At 45.6% G+C, this 21,876-nt stretch overlaps 1 pseudogene, besides 1 other annotated feature; it reads right to left on the reverse strand.

Moving 5' to 3' along the window:
- Positions 3,134-3,208, reverse strand: NMTRV-TAC1-1 (nuclear-encoded mitochondrial tRNA-Val (TAC) 1-1; annotated as a pseudogene).
- Positions 19,492-19,741: an enhancer, noted in NCBI's record as "active region_25310". NCBI's record gives its function as "activates an Ori minimal core promoter by ATAC-STARR-seq in GM12878 lymphoblastoid cells {active_cell/tissue: GM12878}" and the evidence as "EXISTENCE:reporter gene assay evidence [ECO:0000049][PMID:35858748]".

A 21,876-nucleotide genomic window follows, 5' to 3' on the forward strand; every position in this document is an offset into this window, starting at 1 on the left:
CCAAGCAATTTGCCCCAAATCACAGTCAGGAAATATTGGAGCTGAAACTCAAACACTCAAACTGATGTCTATTGACCCCAAATGCCACGTTCTTATACACCCACCACAATCGCCCCAATACCCCCACCGAGTGTACAGAAAAGCAAGAAAGTCAACCAGATGGTCCCAAAAGTAGAACCTGAAAGTGGTTTGTAGCATTTAAGTTAAGAACACTGAGAAGGTGACTTTAAAACAGTCTGAGTGTATAAATTGCAATCAGACTATTAAAGTCTCTTTTAAAGAGAGAACAAATGAGCTTCAACAGTACCAGAAGGAATTTCATTATCAGATGCATTATCTAAGGGTTGTGAGTTCCCTTCCCAGGAGATGGCAGGAGCAGGAGGGGCTCGAACCTGTCTCGATGCAGCCTGCCTGGAGGCAAAGAGCTAACCTGGTGATCTTGTGCAACTCTCCCAGCAGGAGAAGTCCCCGAGGTAACACTTGTGAAGCCTTTGAGTTCCTGGAAGAAAGGCTCCCTAGAAACACTAGGCAAGTGTCATAAATATGCATGTGTGTTTTATCCTGTTATCATTATAGTCCTACTGGGTGGGGTGCATGTCTGACACTCTCAAAATTTAAGGGGCAATGTCCCCTTTGATTACAGGGCATTCTGCAGTGAACTAACTTCCAAACCATCTCCAACTTGCATTCAAGCAGCATCTTTTAACTTCAAGCCAAGCGGTTAGTTTGCCTTGAAGTGACTATTTCACCGAGCAGGGAAGATGCCGGCTTTTCATTTCCATTCCTTTATAGCTGGTTCTCTATGCATTGCCTCAGAGGCTGAGTTTGTCAAGATAAGTAAACAGCAAAACCCAGTGTGCTTTTTCTCAGGACGACCCCGTCGTCTGAGGCAGATTAAGTGTAGTGAAAGCTGACATCCAAGCCATCCTACCTTCGGAAATTCTCTGGGAGGAAAAATGAACCCAAAAGTGTGCCCATTCCAGGTGACAGGGAGCATCTAAATGTTGCAGGCATTCCTAGGGGCAAATTTATGTCAGATGTAGGATTTTTCTACAGCAGACATGTCACCTTTGTCTTACCTTCATTCGGCCAAACCTACTCACTTTGTAGTTCATGTTCAATTTCTGCTCTTCGTGTGGTTTTAAAGGGACTCCACGTGAGTCCACATCCATTTAGTTTGTTAAGAGGGTTTGTTGGCCACCACCATTGTGTCCACCTTCTCCTGCACGCTTTCTACTGATGAGCCATCACCATGCAATCCTCAATAGAATGTAAATGGTGTTTTGAAGCTGCATGCATTCTTTAGCTTCTGAGGTCACTTCATCTCAGGGATTATCCAGATTTTCATTGTCTAAAACAGTTATTTTGTATGTGGCAATTATATAAACATCTGGATGAATCCAGACTTGTATTTGCTAACTTTTGTACCAAATGCAGTTGGCTCCAAAGCATTGGTATATATGGGGGCTAAACGGAAAATAATTTCTGTATGAAAATGTGGAAATTCTGTCTTCTAAAAATATGGTTAAATCTAATTCCCAAGATTAACACCTTCCTAGTATTTACAGAGCAGCCGATGTCTACAGTGGACCTCTAACCCTGGAATGTAGCCTTTTTTAGCATGCAGTCAATGTATTGACAAAAGCTGTAGGCGGCTTTTGATCTATTGGCATTTTTGTATTAAGAGGAGTCAGAATATATATACACACAGCCACCAGAATCAACCTTGACACAGTCAAGTCAGTTATTTCAGCTACCTTTTCCATGAAGTACAGGATGGGACCACAGAGAACTCCTAATGGTGTAGCAATGCACATTGACCATTAAGATGGATGGAAGGTCAGGATACACAAGCCATGACTCAGTCATTTCTGCTCTAGAGACACGTCCTGCACCTTCTCCCAGGAAGACATCAATTCATGTCTACTTCTATACCACCAAGCCATTCAGTGGCTATTGTCAAAGTGCCTGAATTAAATGGGTGAAGAGAATCTCCCAGAAATTCACCCCAAACCCATACCAAAGCCAGACTTAAAATTCACAGTTATTATTCAGCGAGTGGATGGAGCACTGGTACCCTGCTGCTGGTGAACATGGAGAGCTCCAAAGTTGATATTGTCTACTCTAGTGTAGCACAGTGGGCACGCAGCAACCATGATTATGCAGAAGGGGGTAAGAGGGACAAAAAATGAGATACGCAAATTTGGAGACAACATTGTCTTATGCAGTTGAACCATAAAATTGATATCTGTAGACTAAGGAGACAGGCAAAGCCTCCTAAAATTTGAGAAAGAGCCATAGGCCTGTATGACATGACTGTCACCTGGTGATTAGGTTAAATATCTAAAGAAAGGCTTGATCAGTCAGGAGGAGTTTGACAATCATGAAAACACAGAAGGCCAGGCATGGTGGCTCACACCTGTAATCCCAGCACTTTGGGAGGCTGAGGCGGGCGGATCACGAGGTCAGGAGTTCGAGACCAGCCTGACCAACATGGTGAAACCCCGTCTTTACTAAAAATACAAAAATACAAAAAAAAAATTAGCCAGGCGTGGTGGCAGGTGCCTGTAATCTCAGCTACTAGGGAGGCTGAGGCAGGAGAATTGCTTGAACACTGGAGGCGGAGGTTGCAGTGAGCCAAGATCAGGCCACTGCACTCCAGCCTGGCTGACGGTGCAAGACTCCGTCAAAAAAAAAAGAAAGAAAGAAAAAGAAAACACAGAGAAAGGAGCACCTCCAGTCCTGAAAGAGGAGAGCCACCTGGCCTGTGGATACAACGGCTAGTCTTGGGGGCAGGTCAACTCTGAGGAAGGCAACTGGGCTGCTTCTCAGAGCTTAATGCCAGTAAGCATTCATGTTCTTTCACCAGGCCCCCTGTTAGAAGTGCATGCTCACCCACACGACCCGCTGACTACAAGGCACCTTCCCAGGTCATGTGCACGTTTCAAAACAATAAACTGGCATTCTGGTGTATACATCAGCCTTTTGGAGTTTAACATTGGTTAATGTCAACCAGTTAACATTGGTTCATGTTGGTGCATCCGGGGAGACACATCCCGTTCGGTTAGCATTAGGAATGCTATGGCAATTAGAATAGGTACAATAAGAAGTAGGAGGTTGGCTATGGGCACGTTGTTAAGAAGAGGAATTGAACCTCTGCCCATAAAGTTGTAAATTTTACGCAATTGCCGGGCTCTGCCGTCTTAACAGACTCTGTTCTTGAGTAAGTGTGGGTACGGTGGTAAATTGAGATGATACCATTTACGGGGGGAGGCCCGTAAATGCCTCCCTTCAGTGAGGCATTTACTGTCTCACTGTGAAAACTGCCTTCCTTCATCGTTAGGCTTCAACCCCCTTTTTAAAGCAATGAACACGCATTATTTACAAAAGTGGGTAAACATATACTAATACACTTTCCATTACGATGCCTGAAACACTATGATGGCACCACAAGGGCAACAATAAGAATAAAATTATCCTATTTGAGGAAAAGATGTTAATTAAGTAAATTATTTTCTCACCTGACTGGCTTGTCGGCAGTTGGAGGGCAGAAGCTGGGTTTTTATATTGGATATATCTCTACTTTATGTTTATTTTGTCCTTTACAATGCCTGGCCCAGTTCTGGGTATATGCACATGCAAACATTTGTTAGTTTATCAAGCAAATGAACAACAGCAGCTGAACAATACATTGCAACCGACCGCAACTATGGGATGCGAACTAAGCCAAAAGCCTTGATGCATGAAGCCAAAGGGCAAAGCCTCAAACACCAGTGGGCCCAAGAGATTTGCTCCTGACTCCTAAAGCCTCAAACACCAGTGGGCCCAAGAGGTTTGCTCTGGACTCAGGCCATCCTGTTCCCAGCAAGCAGGCACCTGGCTCAGATGCTTGATTTCATTCAGCCACATTGTCTTCAGCTCCCCAGTGCAGTATGTGAAGGAGCAAGGAAATCTTGGTACCGGGAGGTCACTGAGGGCCCATCGCTTACTCCTTCTGAGCTCACTGCTGGTACTGGGACAGGTTGGGTCCTGGGGTGTCTCTGTGTCTAGATGCTACTGCAGGCGGCAGCAGCATTGACGGAGCATTGTCAGCTCTCCCTCCCTGCTCACTGGGAGAGAAAAGATTTTTCATTTCATACATCATTTACAACTTGCTGCCGTGATTCTAAAAAACCAGTGGGCTTCATCAAGTTAATGAGCAAGAAAAACATATTTGGTGAGTGTGTTAATTTTTTGAAAGTTCTGCAGAGCCCAGGACATTAGGCAACATGCATAGGGCAGCTCGGCACACCGGGGAGTCCCCTCCCCCCTAAATTTATTCTACCCAGCTATGGGGGTACCTGCTATTGACTAATAAGTCAGCAAATGTGTCTTAATAGAAATTCAACAACAAATACGTCACTCACTTTGTGTTCTCTGTATATTTTCATGTGGGAACATTTGGGACCGTGAGCAAAAGTTACCAATGGCCCAGCTGAGTTTCTCTTTCTACACAGGGCAGTCTCTACTACAAGAGAGAGCAGCATGGAGGAACAGCTACAGTGAGAATTCAGATCAGAAGGAGAAGGAATCATACTGAATCTTAGTGTGTGGGATTTCTAAAATGATAGGAGACTATCTAAAGAACGACGCAGTAATGAAGGGGAAAGACTAGACATTTGGATGAAATAGCTCTGTCAGAGAACCAAAAGAAGATACTGAAATAAGTCTTCATTTATTAAAGGATCCTTTTAGAGTGCTTATTCTTCTCTATCAAAATCGGGTACTTTACGCTGGTTAAATACATCTCTGAATTAATCTGCCTGTGAAACCATTGAACCGGGAGAGTCACATTACATTTTACAGTTTCTGTCTTTGAGTTTCATCATAAATTAGACATCTGAGATTATCCCCAGCAAGTTCATGGTCTTGGCAGAACTCACACCCAGACCTGAAAGAGTATGTCTGCATTTTTCTCATCTCTTTTCGACACACTGGAGATGTGTGAATTTGTGTCTTATTAGAGATGGGGAAATGTTTGCAGCACTATTAAATGGCAACTATGTGAATTGAATTGAATTTTAAATTGAAACACAAAATGATAGTTACTACTTCAGGGCTTAGACTATTCCCCTTTCTACACAAAATTGAGAATGGATGGGGCAACATTTTAATATCTCATAAAATTCATTTAAAGAGGGTCAATTTCTGGACTCCCACCTATCACGAAAATGACCAACTATAAACACACACATGTACACACAATTCAAAACTCCTGGAGACCATAAATAGAATAGATCATTTAGATTAAGCAAATGGCATAGGAGACAGAATACTTTTGCTGAGAATCATTGCGCTAAACTAGTTGTTTTCTAGATAAGACAAAATGTAAAACAGTCTATTTCAGAAAAGATACGAAATAAGTATCACTATTTTGGGGAGGAACATAATTGTGTTTTGTTGGGAAATATAAATCCAGGAAACACTTTTGTATTTTGATATTTAATGGCCTTTTCTATTCCTTCTTGCTGTGGTGATAAACCTCTACTTGACAAAGAAATGCAGTTTTCAGTAACTGAGGCTGCAGCCAAGCTATCAGCTCAGGAAGGTGCAGGCTCATTCCACACCCAAAGACAGAATATGTGTGTGGCACCCGGTGATTGTTTAGGAGTGTCAGTAAGAAATGTCCTGATTTGCAAAGCATTTCTGGAGAAGAGATTTGAGAAATGTGACCCACAAGAATGAGGCCAAGGAAAGCAAAGAATCAGCACTGCCTTGGGTGTTAAATGCCTGCCTTGGGTGCCCCACTTCTAGGAAGAAGCACACAGCCTTCCCTGCATCCTCTCAGCATCCCCGTCACCTTCCTGGGCTGTACAGGGCAGGCAATGGAGCCAAGTGTCTGCATCTATACAAGGACCTTATGGGCAAGTACCCCATGTCCTCCAGCACAACCCTCAGACCCTAATTAACTCCCCCATCTAAACCTTAGGCTCACTTTCCACAGCTCACAGTAGTAAATGTTTGCAGGTCTACACTGTAAAAGCAAGGCCCAGCCAGACCACTTCACAGGAAACCTCAAAATTCCCAGCAGAACCTATACACAGGTGGGGAGAAACAGTAACAAACGAATGATGGGGACGTTGGTCAAGAGACAGCTGCCTGGGGCAGGACCCGACTGCAGTGGGGAAAGAATATTCTGGAAAGGCTGGAAGAAAGGCTCTGTCCCTTCTTCACTGTAGTAGGAGTCTTAAAGGCCACCTGGTCCAACAGCTGCCAGGCAACCAAAACGCCCCACCCCACCCAGCTTCCAGCTCTGTAGGGACACACGGGAAGGTGACCCCAGTGAGCCACACTCTTGCATCCTCCCCTCCCGAGTACAGACAGAGCCTGTGACTTGCTTCCAGCCCAGAGAAATGGCAGAGGTGATTGGACAGTCCTTTCTGTGACTCTGTCACATTAAATTCAACTCCATTTTAGCAGACTAGAATGAGAGATTCTCTTGCCGGTTGTGGTAGGCAGAGTAACTCTCCCCACCCCACCAGAGATGTCTATGCTCTAATTCCAGGAGCCTGTAATGTTACATCACATGGCAACAAAAGCCCCTGCAGGCTGGGTGTTGTAGCTCGCACCTGTAATCCCAGCACTTTCAGAGGCCATGGGGGGAGAAGGCCTTGAGCCTAGGAGTTAGAGACCAGCCTGGGTTACACAGGGAGACCCCATCTCTACAAACAAACAAAAAGAGTCTGCAGATGTAATTAAGGTTACAGAACCCCAAATGTGAAAATTATCCTGGATTATCCAGAAGGGTCCAATCTAATCACAAAAGCCATTAAAAGCAGGGAATGTTCTCTGGTTGGAATCATGGAGACGCCGGCAAAAGGAAGGCAGAGACGTTTCCAGCATGAAAGGGATTCAACGCACCCTTGCTGGTCCTGAAATGCGGGACCCACGTGCAGGGCTTCTAGGAGGCGAGGGTATCCCTCAGCTCACAGCCAGCAAGGCAGTGGGGACCCAGTCCTACAACTGCAAGGACCTGAATCCTGCCAACAACCTGAATGAGCCTGGAAGCCACTAGCTCCCCAAAGCCTCCAGAAAGAATCAAAGTCCTGTCTACACTTTCTGGGACCTGGAGTCGAAAAGCCAGCTGAGCCCAGACTTCTGACATGTGGAAATTATGAAATAATACACTGGTGGTGTTTTTGGCCACTAAATGGTGGTGATTTCTTATAGCAGCGATAAAAAACTAATACACCGGCCACGAAGAAGTAGGCTGCCATGCTGCAAAAAAGCCAGCTGGCAAGCAGCTGACAGCAGCCCCACCTGACGGCCACCAAGGAAACAGAGCCTCAGCCCCCCAGTCACAAGCACCTCAATTCTGCCAGCCACCACAGCAGCTGGAAAGAGGACCCCAACTCCAGACACGGATTCAGCCCAGCCAGCACCTTCACTGGAGCCTTGTAAGGCCCAGACCCCTGTGGCTCAGCAACTGTGAGATGGTGAATGTAGGTTGTTTTAAGCCACCAAGGCAATCTGTAACTAATGCACCCCCTTCAGGACTGTGGTCCAGGCTGCTTCCTGACCACATCATCCCAGCACCTAAACTCACTTTTTCTAATTCAGGATTGGGACTTGTGTGTAACATATAAGAATTTAGGATAAAGACCTAACATGACTGAGCACCAATTACATGCAAACATAGAGTCTCTCTTTCCCAGCACATTTTAAATCATGTCTGTCTAAGTCTAGAGACCACGCCCTGCTCTTCACAACGGCGATACACTTCTCAAATGTGGACGCCACGCAATAATGAACTCCTGTTCATGGCATTTGCATTCAGAGTCTGCCTCTGAGTCATGCAAGAACACCATCCCATCGCTTTGCTCCAAATGTTTTCCTCCTAAAGTATCTTATCCAATTTGTAGCCACCAAAGAAATTTTCCTAGAAAAAAAGCTATCACACCAGGAAGACAGTCATATACTGTGTCTGGACTAGACTACGGCTTGGAACGTCCCTTCCATCTTGAGAGTCTGTGATTCTAACTCCCACTGGGGCCTACTTGGAAAACACGTTTGGTCTCCCAACATAAGTATCTTTGAAATTATTTTTGAAAGGACAAACATTCACCTGCTTGTAAAATCAGTCCCATCGCTTCCTAGTGGCCCCCGAGGGTCCCCTCCTTGCTTGCTCCACCTTGAAGGGTCACCTAGTCCCCCGTCCACTACCGCTAACACCCAGACGCTGCCTCTGAGCATCTGTGAAGGGGAGGGAGGATGCTTGGGAGAGTGCTGAGCATGCATTTTCTCCACTCTCCGAACTTTCTTTTTCAAAAGAAAATTTCTTCAAACAAAGCAGTTACAAGTCCTTAGTCCGTTGAAGTTTGAAAACAAAGATATCTTTGAGTTTTCTAAACACATACTAAAATAAAGGTTATTTTTTCACTTTCAAAAAAGACAGATCGATTCTTTTGGCGTTCAAATACAGCCAGGCAGAATTTAACTAAAAACTTTCCCGAGTACTATTTTTGCAACAGAGGCCAGCCACCAATATTTTTTAATCTGAAAGAGGTTATTTTTTCTTTCAAAAAAAGAAAAAGACATCATTGGAAGACAATGAACAAAGGAGCTAAATAGGAAAGGCTTGCCAACCATATAAGTGCCTAATATTAAGATAACATCAAATGAATTGTTCATACCTTCTCGTTAGATGTCATTTTGGGATCCAGATGATAATGTTAGTGGAAATCACTCACACTTCCTTGAGGTAGAACAGCCACTAAATCTCTTCCCATTTCAGAGATATATTGTACCATTCTCCTATTTTTAGTGCCCTACCCTGCCTCTTTTTCAGCATAATCCGGGTGGGTGAGGGGGAGAATGTTTAATCTCCCTCCACAGGCACCACATGTGTTATTTTCTAGTACCTATGTCTCATTATCGGTGTTATTTTAATCATTAATTTCAGTGTAACGGCAGGATTTGCTTCAGTTGCATTTAAATCATAATAAAGCTCAATAAAAAGAAAATGAGGAAGAAAGAGAAAATATCATTCGGAGGACTAGCCAAACACTCCAACAAAAGAGACCTTTTTAATTTTCATGACGTGATAAAGTGATAGCCTTTTGAATAGACAATTAGGCTCATAAACCTGATACACCAAGGGCTTAATTCACAAACACACATTGCCACTAATACATTTGCAGAGTAACTCTCTGCTTAACAGGATTAGAATACAGCAAATCATTCATTATTAATGGGAATCTGCATTGCCTAGGTCTTCATCCCTAGATAGACCAGTATTTAAATCAAATAATTTAGCACAATTTCAGGAGCTTATTGCTGCACATAGGTTGCTCATGGACAGCTCTGTGTTTCCATGCATAGAACTAGGAATCATTACTAGGGGCATTGCTAACCTGCCTTAGCTCCTGTTACAGGGAGGATTTCGATTCCAGAAGCTCTGTGCCTTGCCCTGTTCACCCATACAATGAGAAGGAACCACCTGGCTGGTGCATCTGCTTCCAGAGAGGCTGTGAGCTCCACCATATTCCATGCTCCCTGTTTTCACTTTAGCTCTGGTCAGTGATTTTGCAAAAATGCAGAACACATGTCACAAGGGGATTCAGACAAAACCTCGTCTAGAGCAGAGATGGAATTTACAGAGTTGTCATTTCAGCAGTGTTGTCAAGGGCGTTGTCATCCCACCGAAAGGACACGGAAGACTTCCCTCCCTTTGCCTTACAGTAGGTGTAGCTGCCTTTACAGGCAGGTGTACCAATGTGAGGTGTAACAACTCAGGGAAGGTGACACTGGAAAGTGATTCATCTTTATTATTGAGCGTCTAATTTGTCCCAAGCCTAGAGTCACCAACTGTCCCAATTTGGCTGAGACTAAAGGGTTTCCCAGGGCACAGACTTTTAGGTTTAAAACCAGAACATTCCTGGGCAGACCGGATGAGCTGATCATCCTAGCAAAGCAATGAGCTTTCCATTATTTCATGATACCTTCAACCTTATGAAAGAGATATCCTTATGTTTAGAGGTAGAAAATGAGCCTCAAAGAAATTAAATAATTTTCTCCTACATCGCAGCCAGTAGGGCTGGTACGCAATCCCAGATCTCTCTAACTTCTCTGCCCATCACCTCCGGTTCTTCTCAGGCAGCCAAACACCCAGCCAACCTGTAGCACCTTGCTACTGTGGCTGCTGCTGTAGGCACCCAGGTCATATGCTTCCCTGCCCAAAGGAAATCAAGACTTCCTAGGACTTAAACAAAAGCTTCAGATGATCTGAGAACTAACCAGACCTATGAGCAAGGCTTAACTAAGGGCCAATTCAATTAGCACCTCACTGCCACCCCCGAGGGTCCTGCAGAGACTACTGTCCACTGGAAGAAGAATGTACAGCAAAACCACTGCAGATATTTTCAAAAAAAAAAAAAAAAATCTCTCCTACCCTCAACCAGGAGACTTTGATTCAGCAGGCTTAGTAGTGTGCCTGACACACTTAGTGGTGTTTTCAGATAAAGATCTCAAGTCCCCCACATGATTCATGAAGCCTTGATACCCGCCCAGTTCTGCTGCCCTGGGCTAAATAAGACTGAGGCTTACTCCACAGCCTGGTCAGCCTCTGGGCCTCATAAATGAGCCCAGGGTAAGTCCAGGCAAGGCTTTCTCTGCGGTCAAATAAACCACATGGAGGGAAAAGTTTGGGGAAGAAAAAGTATCCCAGCTCTACTATGCAATGTTGGGTAAATCCCTTCACCTCTTAGTGCACCCACATCCTCATTCGTAGCATGGGGATCACACTGTTGCCCACCCAAGGACAGCACACATGAGGCACTGGGCACATCGACTCACCTGGCGCTGACTCCCACACTCTTTCCACACTGGCACCCACTCAACCTCAACTGAGATCCTCAACAATCACATTATTTTGTTTCAAAGAGGTTCCACCCCGTAGGCAGACACCACGGAATCTCACCCATTTTGTTCTGGCCTCTGTACGGCTGTCCATTCTCATCTTTGGAATAACAGTGCCCTTCATTCCCTTCCAGAACCCAGTCCAGCAAAAGAGGCCTCAGTGGGTGCAACTCATAGATGAAATTATAAACTGAAAACATTGTATGTTAAGTGGTGGGCTGTTCTCATTTGAAAAGGAGTGTTTGCTTTACAAAAGGATTACTGAAAGTTTTTAAAATAGAGCCTGAATTGCATTTATCATTAGTTTTGAGTAACAGTAAGTAGTAGTATATTTCCAGCCTCTGAAATCTAGAATCCTTAAGACCTGGTCTCAGGAAGTTTTCTAGTTTATGGAAGAAAATAAGTTTCCATGTTCATAATTCCCTTCCCTTTTCAGTTTCCTTTGCATATTGGCCCCTCCAGGTCTTCGGGACTGATTTGGTGGCCCTCTCCCTTCATCCCCTGCATTTTCTCATTCTAGGGGATCTCATCCATTACTGTTTTGTATCTGCACCAAGACATCATTTCTGGACGTCAACGGCCAATCTTGACCTGAAGGTCTACGTGCATGTCCAAGGTGATGTGCCTGTTATGGGTTGAATTTTTGTCTCCCAATAAAAGATCTTTTGACATCTTAACCCTCAATACCTCCAAATGTGACCTTACTGGGAAACAGGGTCATTGCAGATATAATTGGTTAAGATTCAGTCATAGTGGAGTAGAGTGGGCCCCTTATCCAATATGACCAGTATCTTTATAAAAAGATGACCTTGTGAAGACACAAAGACACAGAGATACCCTGTGAAGATGGAGGCAGAGGTTGGAGTGATGCTGCCACAGGCCACCAGAAGCTGGAAGGGGTAAGGAAGGAGCCTCCCCTCCAGGTTTCAAAGGCAGTGTGGGCCTGCTGACGCTGTGATTTCAGATTTTTGGATGCCAGAATTGTGAGAGATTACATTTCTGTTGTTTTTGAGCCACCTGCTTTGTGATCCTTTGTTATGACAGCCCAGGGGACTCACACAGCTCCCAGCCTGGACTCTAGTGTCCCCCTCAGGAAATGGGACCTCCTACACTCAGTTTCAGGTAGCAGACACCTGGGCACTGTCCTCGGCCCTCCCTTTCCCTCTCCCTCCCTGTGTATCCAGCCCAGCCCAGGTCCCTCCAATCCCACCACTTCACTTACAGCCACCTCCACCCAGTGATGGTGTAGCCTCCTGACTGGCTTTCATGTCTATCTTGCTGCCCTGGTCCACCCTCCACAAGCATCCCGATTGGCCCTTCTCCACATGGGTTCACATCACCGCACTGCTTATTAACACTCTGTGGACTCCACTGCACGTCAGGTGAAACCCACACCACCACAGAACTACCTTGCATTGCCTGATGTCTGCTGTCCCTTCTGGCTTCATCAGCTGCCACCACCGTCCCCTTGATCATAAAACTGGACAATGCTGGCCTTTGGGTCTTCCTTCATGTGGCTGTTATTTTTGCCAAAGTCTCTAACTCCCATTTGCCATTAGGTCTCAGCCCAAAAGCCACTTCCTCAGAGAAGTGCCATCTGTTTCCAGCCCTCCTGCCACATAATCTCTCTTCACAGTCCCCGTTTTCCCCTCGCGGCATTTGTCACAGCTCTTAGTCACATATTTATTAGTGTGGGGGTTGTTCACGGGTGCTGTTGCTTTTCATGTCTTTCTCTCCCTCACTGTGGGCTCCATACGAGCAGGGACAGTATCTATTTGTTCTCCTGGTGTTGGCAGAGAGTAGAACAATGCCTGGCTCCTAGGAGGTGTTCTATAAATATTTGTGGAATGGTCCAGCCTAAATGCCTCTTTTTGTGGCATGATGAGGTATAGGGATGTGTTGATTCTAAAATAAACACTATTAACGCTGGCACTAACTCTGCTCACACCAGGAGGGCTGTGAGAAGGCAGAGCTGCTGAGAAACACCACATCAGGACTGCTGCCTAAGGAGGCGTGGCCAGGCATCTGAGTCCTTGATTTTCTGTGGCCTACAGGGTGCGTCCGGCCAGATTCCTGATGTAAGGGATTACCTGATTGGTTCTTGATGCTTTGCAAAGCTCTTCCTCAAGGATGACCTTACAGAGACTCACAACAACCCCATGAGGGAGGTCCCATAGGCGTCACTATCCCCATTTCCCAAATAAAGACAGAGGGGCAGGGCTCACGCAGCTCATCAGGCCAGGTCTGGTCTCCTCACTGGGTAGAGAGGCCCTTAACACAACAGGAAGTACTGCAGCTTCTAAAGAATGACTTTTTGACAAAAAGCAACATATGAATCTAGCAAGGAATTGATCCTAACATATGGGATTATCATCTGGGTTCCATCAGAGCCACCCCTGTGGTCACATGATCATTGTCTAACAGTGTCATCAGAAGCAGCTGGTAGTTATCCATAACTCTTGGAACAAGAAGAGAAACACCAGCCTGAGTGTTTCCTGGCTACAAGTCATTAAGGCAATTTCACTTACTCATTAAGAATTAAAGAATTAGGCTGGACGTAGTGGCTCATGCCTGTAATCCCAGCACTTTGGGAGGCCGAGGTGGGTGGATCACCTGAGGTCAGGAGTTTGAGACCAGCCTGGCCAACATGGTGAAACCCCATCTCTACTAAAAATATAAAAATTAGCCAGGCATGGTGGTGGGCACCTGTAATCCCAGCCACTTGGGAGGCTGAAGCAGGAGAATCGCTTGAACCCAGGAAGTGGAGGTTGCAGTTGGCTGAGATTGTGCCATTGCACTCCAGCCTGAGCCACAAGAGCGAAACTCTATCTCGAGAAAAAAAAAAAAAAAGAATTAATTAGACAAAATACTGGATTTTTAAAACCAAATCTGTAAGAAAAACAAAAATTTTAGTTCTAACTCTCTAGTGAATGGGAGTATCCTAACGAAATCAGCATCTCCACCTGCAAATTGAAGTTACCTCTCTGGGACCTGCAGTACTCAACTCATCTCTCCTCTGCCTTTCCAGGCAGAAGATCCAAACTAAAGCAGCAATGGGTCAATTTGCCAGACTTATTTATGTGTCAAGTGCCTTTAATGATAAAAAAGGATTGATCCTGCATTCAAGAATGACTCAAAGGTGATGATGGAGGCTGCCCTGGTGATGGCCTCATCCTGGCAGGACAGATCTGCCTGCTGCTGTTAGAGGCAAAGTGGTGGCTAGGCACAATGGCTCACACTTGGAATCCCAGCACTTTGGGAGGCTGAGGGAGGAGAATCACTTCAGCCCAGGAGTTTGAGACCAGCCTAGGCAACATGGTGAAACAACATCTCTACAAAAAAAGAAAGACAGAAAGAGAAAGAAAGAAAGAGAGAGAGAGAGAGAGAGAAAGAAAGAAAGAAAGAAAGAAAGAAAGAAAGAAAGAAAGAAAGAAAGAAAGAAAGTTAGTTTTAATTATCTGGGCATGGTGGTGCATTCCTGTAGTCCTAGTACTCACGAGGCTGAGGTTGGAGGATCACTTGAGCCTAGGAGGTGGAGGCTGCCTGAGCAACAGAGCAAGACCTTGTCTAAACAACAAAAAGAAACAGTGAGCCACACACAATGCTTTTCTGTTGACTCCAGGCTTTAGCAACTCTCGAAAAGGTCTCCCCTGCTCACAAAACACTCACCTTACTGACAATCACTGTGGTCACTCAACACCTCTCAATCCAGCCACTCCCCCCATCTCCAATATCACTGCCTCAGCTCTAGCCATCATCTCTCATCTGCATTGCCACCAAGGCTGCCAGCCGGGTCCCCAGCCTCCTCACCCCTTTCCAAGTCAGATGTGTTTTCAAACATAATTATGCGACTCCCAAACTCAACTGTGGCTGAAGCACCTGGACACTGCTGTGACCATCCAGGGCTGGCACAGAAGTTTTTGAGGAGAAAAAACAGTACTCAACATCTGCCAGGCACTGCCCCAAACTGCCAGCTCAAGGTAGCTCTCACTTTCCTCATTAAGTCAAGCTACATTCCTTTCAATGATATCATATGTGTGTGATGCTGGGTTTTCCAGACTGCTGTGATAAAAAGTAAGCACCTTCTTATATACCCAAAGGAAGTGAACACAGGAGCTCAAAGAGATGCTGGTTCACCTATGTTCACAGCAGCACTATTCACAATAGCCAACAGGTGGAAACAGCCCAAATGTCCATCAACAGATGAATGAATAAACAAAATGTGGTGTATCCGTACCATGGAGTATTACTCATTCTTAAAAAGAAAGGAAGAACTGAAACATACTACAACATGGATGAAAACTGAAAACATGCTAAGTGAAAAAAGCCAAACACAAAAGGATAAGTATCATTCCACTTATATGAGGCACCTAGCACAGTCAAAGTCACAGAGACAGAAAGTAGAATAGCGATTGCCAGGGGCTAGGGGAGTGCAGAATGGGAAGATATTGTTTAATGGGTCCAGAACTTCCCTTTGGGGTGATGAGAAAGTTCTGGAAATGGATAGTGGTGATGGTTGCACAACATTGTGAAGGTACTTAATCCCATTAAAGTGTGCACTTAAAAATGGTTAAAATAGTAAACTTCATGTTAGGTATATTTTATCACAGTAATAAAAAAATACATACCATGCAGAAATCCAGATGAAAGAAGAAATGAAGGTAGCAGTGTTCCAAAGTTTGAGAAACCATGTGGTGCCCAACTAGTAAGTAATTGCAATATTTAAGAATGCAATGAAAATTTTTTTCATTTAATTTACATTCATTCATTTTCAAAAAACCACTAAGTTGTTAGAGCATAAATACTTCTGAGGCTTTTTGAATGTGCTACTTCATCAACAGAACTGTTGGGTATTCTTTTGCTTTAAAGGTACCTTGGAAAGGTTGCTGACACTCCAGTGCTATGAATTGAGACACCACCTATGAGATTTACAAAACAATCCTGAATCTCACCCACTTTCCAATTTACAGTAAGAACAGGGGACAGAGGAACATGTTAAATGACACCACAAGGAAGTAGTCAGCAAATCTAAACTGTGGGGAACACAGGACAAAGAAACCCTGTTCTTGAACAAATATACTGCACAGAAATAAAAAGAAAGATGAATTAAGAAGCATATCAATCAATTGCAATATATATATAATTATTGGATCCTGATTCAAATAAAGTATAAGAATATTTTTTAGAAAAATCAGAAGAAATTTAAGAACCACCTGGATGTTTGATGTTATTTAGGAATTGTTAATTTTTTGATACAATAATGAAATCATGGTTCTGTTTTTTCAGCAAGTTCTCGTCTTTCAGAGATACACGTTAAAATGTTTTTAAAATGTTTTTAAAATGTTATTAGGACCTTGCTTCAAAATCATCTAAGTTTGGAGATGGGAAGGGAGTGGTAGAAGAGATAAAGCCAGCTGTGAACTTATCAGTATGGAAGCTGGGTAATGGGTACATGGAGAGCTCGGGATGAAGTTTGGACTTGGGAGCAAGGCACCATACCCCCGCCCACATACTCTGGCCCCTGACACTGAACCCCAGGCTGGTCCCCAGACTCACAGCTCCCTCTCATCTTGTGGCCTTTGGCAGAGCCTGTTTCCTTTGCTCTTATTCTCTTCTCCCTCCTCTTCATCTGAAAACCCTCCACATCACACAGATCCCAGCACGGCCCCTTCTCCTCCTGGGATACACTGTCTAACACCCTCTCCATCACTGGTTTGGGAGCTTTTCCTCAATGCTTTGTGGTCCCTATCACAGAACTTTGTAAAATAGACTTTAATTTCCTATTAACTGATTGATTGGACTGATGTCTGGTACATAGTATATATTCAATAAACATTTGTCTAATTAAGAAATGAATGGCTAAACAACTGAATAAATGTTATTATAATTACAGATCATTCTCTCCTGTGCCAGTTTGCCATCTACATAGATACCATTATAAAGCTTTTATTGCAGGGAGAAATGGAGTTTCTCTCCCACCTGGAAGGAAGGACCTGAGAAGGCACCTGTAAGAATGAAAAGGCACGCATATGTAAGGCCACCTCACTGTGTCACAAGTGGAGACACAAGGAATTGAGCCAACAACACAGCTCCCAGAAAGGCAAGACCCTAATGGAGGGTAACAGGGTTAGAAGGGGGCCACTCTGGTTATGGAAATCGTGACTGCAGAGAAATCCCGGGCTCACTCTCCAGATGCTTACCTGACTCTGAGCCACTCCTGGGGACTCACACGTCTCTTCAAATCCCCTTCCAGGCTGAACCCTGGTGTCTGGCAGGCATCCACCCCGCTTCATGTGTTCATTACACAAGAACGAGTTACCGCTCACTGACTGCACTGAGCCTCACCCAGACTGTGTGCTGGGCAGTGCGACCAATTCAAACGTGAATACTGACAAAGACAAGACAGGTGCAGACACAGCCACACGGCAACACAGGGCGCACTCAGGAGCGGGAGGGGGAGAAGGTCAGGCAAGTGGGGAGATGGTGACTGAGCTGGCATCCTGCCAGGTAAGCAAGCCAGGACAGAAGCCCAGAACCTGAGCCACAGACCACGAGGGGTGGCATGGGACAGCTGCCTGGCAGCGGGTGCGAGGGGCTACCTGAGTTGGGTTTCCAGTTGGACCAGGGAAGGCTTCCTCCTGTGGCAAGTGCAGAGGCAGAGTGGCCACGGTGCTGTCGGTGGCCCCGTCAAGGCAGGTTTTTCCCACCCTCCCCCCTTGCTCAGATGGGAGCGTCCGGGAGTCAGGGCTGCAACAGCCAGGCGTTGCCCCCTATACCACACAGTTCAGAGGAAGGAGAGGCTGTGAGGTCTATCTGCTGTCTCCTCCTGGAGCTCTCTCTTAAAGGAAAACAAAATCTCCCCCAGAAGACCAGCAGCCAACTTCTGGTCAAGCCACCTGGCCAAAACTGGATGGCAGCCCACCCTGGGTTTGGCGAGCACACAATGGCAGGTCCACGTGGAACCTGTTTGCCCGGCCGTTAGCCCTTTCTGACTCCTGGGTAGAATCAGGAGATGTCTTCGGCGGTCTCCCACAACCCAAGCAGGCTGTGAACTGAAGAAATGGCCCGGGTTGCTTCCAAGCAGAGGTCTGGAGATGAGACAAGACTTGCCCTGAGTTCCGTTCCCACCACGCCATTTCTCCGCCCCACTGGGCCTGGGGCCTGGCTGCACGGAACAATTTCCCAGGCCCCACCCATATCAATTACATCCAAAGCTCCAAGGGTTGGGGTCCAGGCCCCTGTGGCTTTGTTTTTTAACCTCCCAGTGGATTCAGATGCACAGTGAGGATTGAGGACCAGTGCTCTAGGTCAGTGGCTCCCAAACTTCAACAGCATCAGAGTCACCAGAGGGCTCCTTAAAAATACAGATCCCCGGCCGGGTGTGGTGGCTCACGCCTGTAATCCCAGCACTTTGGGAGGCCGAGGCAGGTAGATCACCTGAGGTCAGGAGTTCAAGACCAGCCTGGCCAACATGGTAAAACCCCATCTCTACTAAAAATACAAAAATCAGCCAGGTGTGGTGGTGAACGCCTGTAATCTCAGCTACTTGGGAGGCTGAGGCAGGAGAATCACTTGAACCTGGGAGGCAGAGGTTGTAGTGAGTGGAGATCGCACCAGTGCACTCCAGCCTGGGTGACAGAGCAAGACTCCGTCGCCAAAAAAAAAAAAAAAAAAAAAAAACAGATCCACAGCCGGGCATGGTGGCTCACGTCTGTAATCCCAACACTTTGGGAGGCTGAGGCAGGTGGATCACCTGAGGTCAGGAGTTTGAGACTAGCCTGGCAAACATGGTAAAACCCTGTCTCTACTAAAAATGCAAAAATCAGCTGGGTATGGTGGCGGGCATCTGTAATCCCAGCTACTCGGAAGGCTGTGGCAAGAGAATTGCTTGAACCCGAAAGGTGGGGGTTGCAGTGAGCCGAGATCGAGGCACTGCACTCCAGCCTGGGTGACAGAGCGAGACTCCATCTCAAAAAAAAAAAAAAAAAAAGGTACAGATCCCCACACCCCACAACCAAGTTTCTGATTCAGGAAGTCTAGGGTGGGGCCTGGAATCTTCATCTCTAACAAGCTCCCAGGCAATGATGATGCTGCCGGCTGAGAACCACTGCTTGACCCAATCTCCATCCAATCATTAGCCCTTTTGGAGCCTCTCCGCCTTTCTCATCTGTGAAATAGAAACAAAACAGCTGCCCCACCGCTGTCACTGGAGGGATTAAAGAGAACATCCACAAAGCACCTGGCACAGAGCTCACAAAGTACACAAGGCACTTAGCACGTACTCAAAAAACAGAAGGCTCTATTATTAGTCACGTTACAATGGAGGTGTCGGTGTGCTGTACGCGTGCAACCCTGCGCTGGCCCAACCTCCCCCCACCTAGTATTTTTTTTTTTTTTTGCCTTCTCAAAATGTGGAAGCACCAAAAAATAATGTGCATTCCTGCTTTCTGCACTGATTCTAACCCTCTGGAGTTTTCTTATAGAATGATGCTTATCAGAGGAAAAACATCTGTTCCACTTTCTTTAATCTCTAATTTATCTAATCTCCCCGTATAAAATAGGTATACTGCTAATGAGTAAATTCCTGCCAAGGGAATGAAAATGCTTGTTACAATTACTTATTCTGCTCATTGACTTTACCCTCTGTGGTCCAATATCACACAACATAAATATAATGGATGGGCCACTTTTTTCTGGCATCTTCATCACCGGCCACTAATAGAGAGCCTTTCAGAATAGAAAGTTGTCATTTTCCATCTCTCTACTCGAAGCACCAGACACAAGTTTGCCAGAGTAAATCTCCTCCTCAGACAAGTGAGTGTCCTCACCCAGCCCAAGGCACAAGCCCCGAAGAATCCTGTGCGGTGGCGACGGTGATGGAGAGAGGCCACCAGAGGGCGCAGAAGAGCAGCAAGGCTGCCCCCTCCAAGGCCGGCGACTCGGCCACCTGGGCCGCCAAGCCCTGCATGGGGTGTTTATCGTTGGAAAGGGTGTTTTTCAGAACCTATAGCACCTTGGTGGTTCTTAATTTTTTTTTAAGTTAATAATCAAATACGATTTGCTCCCATGTGTTTATAAAAAGTAAGCCAAGATGACATTACTTAAAAGAACAGAGCTAGATCAAAAGAAAGTGAATGAAATTTGAGAATTGTGGCGCTATGGGGGTGAGGTGGGGTCGTGGAGGGCCATCTGGAATGAATGCCTCATTTTACAGAAGAAACAAGGATAGGACGAGTAAACAGAGGGCCACAGCCAGGCCCAGGCCCCGGCTGCTGGTTCTGCGTCTGCTCAGCCACCAGGCTCGGGCAAAGCCGAAAACGTCAAGGACCAACAGACAGGCCATCAGCCCTCGTCTCCTCTCTTTTCCATGTCTCTTTTACCCTGGGAAAAAGAGAACTGACGTTTCATATTATAACCTGAATTTGTACCATGACTTTCCATGGTTATTGGAGTTTTTTTGCTATTTTTATTGTGGTAGAGTATAGACAACATAAAAATTTACGATTTTCACCGTCTTTAAGGTACAATTCAGTGGCATAAAGTACATTTGCATTCTTGGGCAACCATCACCAACCATCCATCTCCAGAACTTTTCCATCGTCCCTAACGGGAACTCTGGACCCATCAAATTCCAGCTCCCTAATCCCCTGGCCCCCAGCCCTAGGAACGCCCATTCTCCTTTCTGCATCTATCAATTTGCCTATTCTTGGAACCTTACATAAAGGGAATCCTGCAATATTTGTCCTAGTGCGTTGGCTTCTTTGATGTAGGACGATGTTTTCAAGGTTCAGCTGTGGTGTGGCAGGTGTCAGAACTTCCTTTTATGAATGAATAAGACTCTTGCACCTTTGTTCTTGATACCCAGAAAAATGCTGCAAGGCAAAATGGAGGGGCAACTCTGGTCTTCATCTTTCAGATGAGGACTCTGAGCCCGGCACTTACCTGCCCACATCCATACAACGTGACAGCAGATCTTGGACTCACATCCAGGGCTCTTTGCCCTCCTTGTCCTGGGATTTTTCCGGGTACAGACAGTGGCCTTCTGTCATCGCTCTCCTGCACACAGACATGGAGAGATGCTTCCTTCTCAGGAAGGGCATTCAACCCACCTAACAAACACACGTGCGGCTCCACTGCGGAAAGAAGGTGAACCAAACTAGAAAGAAACAACTCCGTGTGGTAACGTTTGCATAGATTATACCACCCAGTCACAAAGCTCTTCTACACACGGGGTCTCAATGTTAATAAAAACTTAGCTGGGGACAGGGGTGTGAATATTCTATCTCATCCCAACTGAGGTTAAGACAACAAGCCACCGTGTATGCCAAGGCCCTTTAAAGTCCCGGCTTCAGCTGAGAGCACTCAAGGGTACAGTGGCTGGATGTCTTTATTCCAGTGAAGTTTCCTGGGGCCATAATTCACAGAAGTCCTCTGTCCTGGGGCCACTAAGGATTGACTGTACAAGTGAGCTGTTTCTCACATCTACCTATGTTTTACAAAAGCACACACTGTAGGTTCTCTTGCGTTCCCATTATCGAGATGACTGTTAATAGTTATCTGTACACTTTTTGTACATCACCTCAGTTAACTCCTGCATATGCTCTGTGCATAAATGAAGGTTTAAAGATCATGTAACCAGCTCAGGGTTATTACACGGCTGGTAAACCATAGTCGGGATTCCAGCTCGGTTTTAGGACTTCAGAGCCCAGCTGGCCAGCACAGAGTTAAGTTAGGTCATGTTAAACTCTTCCCCACTGGCCAGCAGGTGGAAGCTGCCTTTGAGGGGTATATACTCTCTCCCCAAACCAAAGCATAGGCAACAGGTCCAATGCAGCAAGACCCATTCCTGTACCTGCCTTTATGCCTCTGTGACAGATGCTTTGAGGAAGACCAAGATGAAGAGGACCGGCCTCCCAGGGCTCACATCCAATGAACACATACTTGTTGAGTTGTATCTGTGGCTTGTTGGACTTAGAAGTA

The sequence above is a fragment of the Homo sapiens genome, chromosome 6 (genome assembly GCF_000001405.40).
Source record: "Homo sapiens chromosome 6, GRCh38.p14 Primary Assembly".
Classification (NCBI taxonomy): Eukaryota; Metazoa; Chordata; class Mammalia; order Primates; family Hominidae; genus Homo; species Homo sapiens.